The 10,022-nt window shown below is 40.6% G+C and overlaps 1 annotated feature.

The window, feature by feature from the left end:
- Positions 9,671-9,760: an enhancer, noted in NCBI's record as "active region_17056". NCBI's record gives its function as "activates an Ori minimal core promoter by ATAC-STARR-seq in GM12878 lymphoblastoid cells {active_cell/tissue: GM12878}" and the evidence as "EXISTENCE:reporter gene assay evidence [ECO:0000049][PMID:35858748]".

Genomic DNA, 10,022 nt, shown 5'->3' on the forward strand with positions numbered 1-10,022 from the left:
GTAAACCCCAGTGCTTGCACAGGTTCGACACTCAAGTATTTGTTGGATTGTATTGATGTGAAAACATCTGCATTGGCAAGATGATCAATTCAAGCTAATTTATAGTCATAGGAGGTTCCCATAGAACAGCTCTTGAAGACCATCCAGTCTAAAGCTTTTCAAACTTTTATTTTGTTTTGTTTTGTTTTCCTTTCTTTTTTTAGTAAAACAATCCTGTTTTCAACAAGGAGTTTATTTGAAAGCCCAAGATGTGGAGCATATAAACACCATTCATGTTCAAGCTGGGGGAGCCCAGATATGTGCTTCCAAACCCCTTTCCCTGCCATTATAGGGCCTCAGAAAAACACAATTCAAAATCACTTTACAAAAACTAAGAAATACAGGGGAAGAAGATAATACTCAGACATCATGCTATTCCTAAGTTTTATCAGAAGCAGACAGTGAGTGCTATGTATTGTCAAGTGAAATGAGTTCTGGGATTATGTGAACTATCTTGTGACTTGTCAGGAGCTAATTAGATGATTTCTAACAACCGCCAGTCTCTCATAGTCTTATTAAAAAATTATTCTAGAGAGTGACTTGCTTTTAGATAATGCATTGCAATGTTTATGTGCCCAGCTCTGGAGTCAGGTTGCCTGGTTCTGCCAACTTTCGGTTCTACCGCTTACTAGCTGTATGACAAGTTACTTAGGCTCTCTCCTTCTCAATCTCCTCCTTTATAAAATTGGGCAATAATCGTACCGACTTCACAGGTTTTTGGTAAGTACTCAATAAGGTAATACAACTATGAACTTAAAACAGCTACTATAGTAAATGTTCAGTTAATATACAGAGATTCGTTAAGGGCCATGGTGAGAAAGGCAAATGGAACATATCACAGGTGCCACAAGCTGAATTTGGTGCTTCTCAAATGAAAAATATGGTGTACCCATTTAGATTGCAGATATTGACCTGCTATTTAAAGTGGGCATTGCCTATTTTACTAATCCAAGGAATCTGCCAACTGGTTTATTCTCTTCTGTTTAAAGTAAAACATCAAATGATACTACAAAAATTTAATGCATATAGGCACATTTAAAATGCTAGCAGTCTTGCTAAGTAACAACATAGTTATCCAAGCATTCACTAGATGCTTTTGTTCTCTAATCATGGAGATTTCTTTCTGTCAGGAAACCTTACCTGTCTTTCAGGTAGAACTATTCTGCCTATTCCTAAACACTAGCTGAATTACTTTGTATCACTCCAAAAGCAGGCCCTAGAACACAGTAGAACAAACATCTACCAGGAAAAAGTAGAAATCTTAAAGAAAAACCTGAAATGGGCACGACAGGAAACTTACTCCTGGTAAGGTAATCTGAAAATAAAACATCCTGGTGACCTTGTCATTGGGAAGACAAATAAAAAGTTATTTTAGAGCTACCTATTAAATTATTTCACTGAACTGGAAAAGCAAAGTAAAAACATGCATAAAAAAATAAAGGGAAGTGATTAGATGGTGGTCACCATTGCCCATTTCAGAATCCCATTCCATAGTGGCCAGTTGGGCCACCAGATGTTTCGGCAGAGCTGATGTAAAGTCCTTGCTGTCCCTAATGCCCAGACTCACTGCAGAGGCTCAGCACAATCCTGAGAGTGTGAGAAGTCAGAGCAGACTGCCCTTCTGGAGTGCCTTTAGGTGACCCAAACAATTGTGGTGTGGACCACGTTTGGAATCAGGAGATGAAAGCCTCTTCTAGCACATGAATTAAGACAACCAGAGGCTCACCTCCATCAGAAGGGCCCACAAACCAGTGGTTCTCAAATATAAAAATGCAAAAGAGTTGCCTTAGTTTATTAAAATGCATAATCTGTGTTGGCATAAAGGGAGTGACCTCTTTTTAATGTTTGACACTTGACAGCTTTTAGATCCCCAACCTCCCTGCCTGCCCCATATTTGGGCAGCCACATTTAGAGGACCCACATGTGCCAATCATCACCTGGTGCTGGAGGGGAGTTCACATTTCACAAATCCCTAGCCCTTGCTCCAAATTCTTCCCTAACCCACTTCATCGTGTGTCCGGAATTGGTGGGTTCTTGGTCTCGCTGACTTCAAGAATGAAGCCGTGGACCCTCGCGGTCAGTGTTACAGTTCTTAAAGATGGTGTGTCCAGAGTTTGTTCCTTCAGATGTTCAGATGTGTCCAGAGTTTCTTCCTTCTGGTGGCTTCGTGGTCTCGCTGGCTTCAGGAGTGAAACTGCAGACCTTCGTGGTGAGTGTTACAGCTCACAAAGGCAGTGCGCACCCAAAGAGTGAGCAGCAGCAAGATTTATCGCGAAGAGCAAGAGAACAAAGCTTCCACCAAGCAGAGATCGTTACTGCCGCTGACTCGGGCAGCCTGCTTTTATTCACTTATCTGACCCCACCCACATTCTGCTGATTGGTCTGTTTTACAGAGAGCTGATTGGTCCGTTTTGACAAGGGGCTGATTGGTGCATTCACAAACCTTGAGCTAGACACAGAGTGCTGATTGGTGCATTTACAATCCCTTAGCTACACACAAATTTCTCCAAGTCCGCACTAGATTAGCTAGACACAGAGCACTGATTGGTGCCTTTACAAACCTTGAGCTAGACACAGGGTGCTGATTTGTGCATTTACAACCCTCCAGCTAGACATAGAAGTTCTCCAAGTCCCCACCAGATAAACTAGACACAGAGCACAGATTGGTGCGGTTACAATCCTTTAGCTAGACATAAAAGTTCTCGGAGTCCCCACCAGATTAGCTAGATACAGAGTGCTGATTGGTGCATCCACAAACTCCGAGCTAGATGCAGAGTGCTGATTGGCACATATACAATCCTCCAGCTAGACATAAAAGTTCTCCAAGTCCCCACCCCACTCAGGAGCCCAGCTGGCTTCCCCTAGTGGATCCTGCGCTGGGGCCGCAGGCGGAGCTGCTCACCAGTCCGGCGCCACGCGCCCGCACTCGTCAGCCCTTGGGCGGTGGATGGGACTGGCCCCGCGGAGCAGGGGGAGATGCCCGTTGGGGAGGGTAGGGCCGTGTGGGAGCCCACGACGGGGCGGGGGAGGCTTGGGCATGGCGGGCTGCAGGTCTGGAGCCCTGCCCCGCGGGGAGGCAGCTGAGGCCCAGCGAGAATTCGAGCGTGGCACCCATGGGCCGGCACTGCTGGGGGCCCGCTGCACCCTCCGTAGTTGCTGAACCAGGTGCTAAGCCTCTCACTGCACGGACCAGCAGCGCCGGCCTGCCACTCTAAGTGCAGGGCCACTGAGCCCGTGCCCACCCGGAACTCGAGCTGGCCTGCGACCGCCGCGCAGCCGGGTTCCGCCTGCGCCTCTCCCTCCACACCTCCCTGCAAGCAGAGGGAGCCGGCTCTGGCCTTGGCCAGCCCAGAGAGGGGCTCCCACAGTGCAGTGCCGAGCTTCGGGAAGCTCGGCCAGAGTGGACGCCATGGCCTGAGGAGGTGCCAAGAGCGATCAAGGGCTGATAGCACGTTGTCATCTCTCAATAGCTATTATAAGGGCCCAGTCCACTCTCTCTCCTTGGTTGTTGTTTACCTCTTGACTAAATTTATAGACTTTCTTCTTTTAGACTCCCTCTTCTATTTACTATGTACACTTCACTTCATATCCATGGTACCTATGTGTCCATCATCTCAACATCCACAAATTCCTGAGGCGGGGATTACTCAGCATCCGGCAGGGATGAGGACAGCAAATAAAATAAGGGAAAAAAAAAAGTGGGGACTCAGTAAATCCAACTTGAGCTGTGTTGAGAGTTGTCAAATTAAGAGATCTACATAGGCATTCATGATCTTCCAGATTTCTCAGATTGATTACAGCAGCCATGGGGACTTTGACCAGACCACGCTCCAGAAAGCAAGTACTGGCCTTAAGTTTATTCTAGACTTCAGGACAGAAGAAGGCATAAGTAAAATGCTTTTCAAAACCAAGGTCCATCTTAAAGCCAGAGGTCAAGGAAAGGTACTGCAGTCGTCAAATAAGATACCTGGAGTTAGGGGCAGCTTGCTTAGACAGAAGTCAATGGAGAAAGCAGCTAACAGAACCTGTAACTGGAGAGTAAGAGAAGAGACTGTCATGTTCAGAATTTCACTCATACAATACTAGAGATGAGCAAGTCACCATAGGCATTAAGCAATCAGTATTTAATAGAATCAAGCACAAACCTGTTGTAAAATTTCCTTTCATTGAAAACCTAAAGTACCTTCTAGAGGTTTTTTTTTACATCTTTTCTTTTGTATTGTGATAGAATCTGTTTGTGTATGGACCAAGGCAACAGGGAACCTGGGAAGGAAGGTAGGGCAACAAATGGCAAAGAGGGATTAAACAACAACAAAAATTTCTGGTCCCTAGCCACTTGCACCTGGTGGAGAGTGTCAAGAAAAACCACAGATTTATACCTGGAGCTTTGCAAATTAAAAAAGATATATTAATTCTTTCAACAAATATTTATTGAGTATCCATTACCTGTCAGACAGTTTGCTAGGAGTTAGGGATGCAAATGCGTAGAAAACAGTATTTTCCCTTGAGCAGATTCCACTATCAGGATGAGGCCAGCAAACAAAACTTATAAGTTCTAACCGAGGTGTATATTTCTATGAAAATATAGACAAGGGACCATTTCACTCTACCTGATGAAAATGAGTGGAGAGCCACAACCAAGCTATAAAGAATGGCCCAAGATACCTACAAAACTAAGGCCGATTTCAAAGACAAGGTGTGAGTTTAGAAACTACCGATAGGTAAGAAAATCACGTCCAGACAGATTTCTTTTAAATGTTAAGTATTTCCCATGTGGGGATGGACTGGCATATCAAGACGACTAGTTTAGTGAATTCTGCTGAAACCAGGAAGTATAGAGGACTATGAAAATTAAAACTAAAAATAAATAAATAACTAAATTAAATACTTAAAAATGCGATGGACAAAAACAGTGTTGAATTTGGAATGAGATGTAGAAAGAGATAGGCATTGTTCATTTTAGAGATATCAGTTTACCGATTCAATTTAATGTTTGTTTCTTTCAATCCAATAATTTTCCAAAAGATTAACAAGAGTCCTAATTTGTTCCTTATTCAGCAAGAATTGCAATACAGAGCACTTTAAAAAAAGTATTTCAGGCTCCCTCTCTCCTGTTTTCTCCTTCCGTGACCTCTTGTAAGACTTTGATCATTTGAAAGGAATGTGTGGGTGGTGTGTAACCTTTAGAAATGTTTTTCTGCCAATTTACTAGAGGGAAGCTTTATTTCTCTTTTCTTTTTTTCCCCCTTGCCCTAAGTTCTGCACAAAACCACATCTCACTGTGTTGTGCAAAGCCATTCAGAGACATCCTTGAAAGACTCCAATGAAGAGAGATGGGAGTCAAGGCTGTGAAACCAGACAGCACCCCCTCAAAACCAGATTTCTGTGGCCCCAAAACAATTCTGCCTCTTTATGTGAGATGGCTTGGTGGTTGGTGAGTCATATTACCAGGTGTATTTATAGACAACCCATTTTAAAAATAAATAAATAAATAAATAAAAGCAGTTATTGCCTTTTTAGAGTCTCAGAAGGAGCAAAGAGAATAGCTAAAAGAATGTCTGAAAATTAGAAATGCTGCTATTATTAGAGAGTAGGCTAAGTTCAAAAAACTAAAGAATAAAAGAGTTCATTCAAAAGATAGGGATTCTGGCTGAGTACTCTGTCTAGTCCACAAGATTCTTCCATAGTGGCTTGCACTTGAAAGATGATCAATAAAATCTGTTGTGGAATAACTAGCAATGATTGTCAAAGAACAAGTTGGCTCGCATCTGTTTCATGTATCTATTTCACATTGCAATTTGAAATATGCATGGCAAATAGGAATTATATTCCCTTTCACTGTTTTCTTTTAATATTTACTGCATATTAAATTTATTTTTATAAAATGTAATGATTGAACTACTACATTGGGTATTATATGAGCAGAGAAAAGCTAGGAGTAATACACTGAATAATGAATCTCCTGGCCTCCCCAAAATCACCTGTTGAACTGGTAACTTAAGATGTCAAGTAGTAATTTGATCTGGGAAAGGTTTCCTCATTTTAGGAGCTCAGAACCGCTCAGTCACTTGTGATCTGCTTCCCAGAGTAGATTCCTCAGGTAGGAAACAGGAACCTAGTGAAAACCCAAAAGGCAGTTCCTTTGAAACAAGAAAAGTTAGGTAGTAGTGAAGAGACGGAGTGAAGGTATATACTTTTGAAATGTGAGGACATGAGATTTGGGAGGAGCCAGGGGCAGAATGATGTAGTTTGGCTCTGTGTCCCCACCCATATCTCACCTTGAATTGTAATAATTCCTATGTGTCAAGGGCAGGGCTAGGTGGAGATAATTGAATCATGGGGGCAGTTTCCCCCATACTGTTCTCATGATAGTGAATAAGTCTCACAAGATCTGATGGTTTTATAAATGGGAGTTCCCCTGCACAAGCTGTCTTGCCTGCCACCATGTAAGACATGCCTTTCTCCTCCTTCACCTTCTGCCATGATTGTGACGTCTCCCCAGCCATGTGGAACTGTGAGTCCATTAAACTTCTTTTTCTTTATAAATTATCCGGTCTTGGGTATGTCTTTATTAGCAGTGTCAGAACAGACTAATACACGTACATACATTTTAAGAACAAATGATATCAACCTTGAGGTTACTTGGTTTCTGCAGAGAGTTACTTAAACATGGTTCCCAAATTGGGATGCACTTACCCAAAGAATGTGCAGGATCATTCACATGAATGATGAAAAAAAAAGTTAACATTTATATATATTTTCCTAAGAAAAGAATTAAACATTACTAATATTTAAGGTATAGACTCAAAAGAGTACATATCTACTAAATATATACATATTTGTGGGCTTTGTGTTCAAGAGTCTTTCAGTTTTTGTTTCTCACTGACTTTGTATCTTTTCGTCTGTTTTGTTTATTGAAGTTTCCCAAGTTTTAGAAGAATGCTGGGATATGGAAGCATTTTTAAAAATTGCTTTTGAGTGAATTAGAATGCATTTGATCACAAAGATTGGAGAGTACTGGCTCAAAATGAGTGTGATAAAGGTGAAGTTTTAGAAAAATGATTAAACCGGCTTCGAAGGTCAAATAGTGCTTATGTTTTGGTCAAATTGTATAGATCAGAAAGCTATCCATTATCGTAGTCTGTTAGAGCTGCTATAGCAAAAATACCATAGATAGGGTGGCTCATAAACCACAAACATTTATTTCTCACAGTTCTAGAGGCTAGGAAGTCCTAAATTGAGGTGCTAACAGTTTCAGTGTCTGATGAGGGCCTGCTTCCTGGTTCATAGATGGCTTTTTCCTGTTTTCTCGAATGTCAGAAGGGACAGGGGACTTCTCTGCAGTCTCTTTTATAAGAGCATTAAGCTTGTTCATGAAGGCACCACCCTAATGACCTAGTTGCTTCCCAAAGACCCCACCTCCAAATTCCATCACATTGGGGATCAAGTTTCAACATATGAATCTGGGGGAGAAAGGAGAGTATATACATTCAGTCTATAGCACCCATCAATGGCATCCATCAGATAGCACGTCCTCTGGATAACAGAAGGATTAAACAAAATGATGTAAGGCCCCAAACAGGCCTCTCTGTGGGCCAGAGAGAAAAGCATCTTCTTTTAAATGGAATTGGACACTAGGGAAGACTGGAGAGGCTGTGGTAACAGAGGAAGGTCTCTGAGAGCCTGCAGATTCTATAAGACCCAAGAGCGGTCCAAGTCCCAGCTGCCTCAGCCAAAAAGACACCAAACTATACTAAACTACACAGAGTCTACCTAAACTGGAGCAGAAATTTTTCTACCTTTTCTCAATTTAAGAGAAAGAGGGAAAAATCTAAGACCCTGGTTAAAATAAAAATAAAACTCAGAGCTCCTACTAAGAAAAAACCATGGATTTGTGAGCCATATAGTACTAGGTTTAAATACCAGTTCACCTATTTATTATCTGTATAATCGTCAGCAAATTTCTTAACTCTTCTAGCTTCACTCTCCACATTAACTAAAAACAAAAGACACTAACATTTCCCACAGGTTTGCTGAGATTAATGGAGCATTTCCCAAACCTCAGTATTTCTTATTCCTTATAATGTTTCACAAATTGTATTGAGTCTAGCTAAGACCAGTTTTTTTACTTACTATGATTTTTAACTTAAACACATTTCAAAAGAAAACTTTGTATCATTATCACCATTATCACTTACCATTTATGGAAAGCATCACAAAAGATAAATATGGATCTCCTAAAACTAGGGGAATCCCATTGGGATTCTTTCTGTTGTTTATTTCTGTTGTCCTGGTGTAATTATTAATAACATTGTTTTGACTCACAAAATGTCCCAGTCTAGACAATCAATGATGTGATCACCCTACCTAAAATGATTTGCGTACCCCCAGGGGTGCACATACCATGGGGAAACACTGACTCACATGTATTATGTGCCTAACAGAGCACCTGGCACTTGGGAAGCACTCAGCCATGAGAGTTTTCTTCCTTCCCAGGAGTGCATATGAAATGGTAATCGTGGTCCTAACAGCTCCAGAGGCTCCAAAGAGCTGTAGGGAGGGGACAAACACTGTGGGAAGACAGGATGTAAGGAGAGCAATACCTGTAGTTGTTGATCCCTCATGTCCTGGTATCCTCCCATGCTAGTATCAGAAAAAGACATGCATTGGACACTGGGTAATTTGGGTATATTAACGAATGAGCATGATTTATCAAATCTGAAAGTAAAAAAGTAGCTGGATCTTTTACAAAAAGGAGGAGTAACATAATAAATCAGGGTCTATTTCTCCCTCTCTCTGTGTTTATATGTATGGAGCATGTATATGTAACATATGTAACTAAGATCAAAACAAATATAATACAAGAAGTTGTGGAACTCCTCTAGAAGTTTGTTACAAAAATCCAATTTTTTAAGTCTGAGTTTAGATAGAATTAAGTAATTTGGTAGTGATTGGGGAGGAGGATTGATCTTCATTTCTCTCAGACTTTCTTGAATTTCATGGATGATAATTGCACAAGAATCAAACAGATACACAAAACCAAAGTTTTCTAAGCATCTGAATCAAGTTACCTTCTATAGTCTAGAAAATATTTTCTTGAATGAATACATTACCACTGCTACCATAGTTAAAACAGAAAATATTGTGACAATAATTGTGGAAATAATGTTTGAAATATTAGGGATATAAACCAGTCCTGAGAGACAGTGTTTGTATAATTCCTGTCTTCCAGTTAGAGCTGGAGACTTTACAAATTACATCTCCTTCATTTTAGGAATGAGAACCAAGTACCCTTCCTAGGGCAAAAAGAAGGTTTCCAAGAGTACAGAGTAAAATGAGTAAATCTTAAAAAATAAAGTCCATGTTTCTAGGTATAGAGTCCAAATTTTATATATTTAATGAGTAGGAAACTGCCTTTTCCATTCAGCAATTATCTCAGTTCCATGATAAAATACATTCTGGATTCTTCTATTAATAATAGTTTTAAGTAGTACTTTCCTACTTTCAATATATTCTTAGAGTGTTACAAAGTTTTGTTCAAAATAAGAAGTGCCCATGTGAACATACTAAACACCAAAAAGCAACAGAAATAACTCAGTGATTAACAAACAAAAGCAGATGGAGGAAAATATGAGTCCTTTAAAAGGTCAAAGAAAAAATTCAAGCAGCTAGAATTCTGTGCATTTGTCCTCTGAGGCTTTCTGAAAACTTCTTTAGGGGCAAAATACCTCTCCAAGTGAAGTAGTTTTGAAAGTGGTTTTCACTCTTCTGATGCATTACTGTCTAAATCATGAAAACATTTCCTTCCTTTGCTCATCAGTAGGTGCTTAAGTATGCAGAAAGGACAAGGTTCCAAGTGGACGGTACTTCCCCGACACCCAGTAACCTGTATTTCTCAATACTGGGCTGTTTGCATGTTGAAACAGTAGTTTTTAAAACAAGCATAGGTATTTTGTGTAAAAAGATATCTTGTGCGGTTTTTC

The sequence above is a fragment of the Homo sapiens genome, chromosome 2, assembly GCF_000001405.40.
Source record: "Homo sapiens chromosome 2, GRCh38.p14 Primary Assembly".
In the NCBI taxonomy this organism is placed as follows: domain Eukaryota; kingdom Metazoa; phylum Chordata; class Mammalia; order Primates; family Hominidae; genus Homo; species Homo sapiens.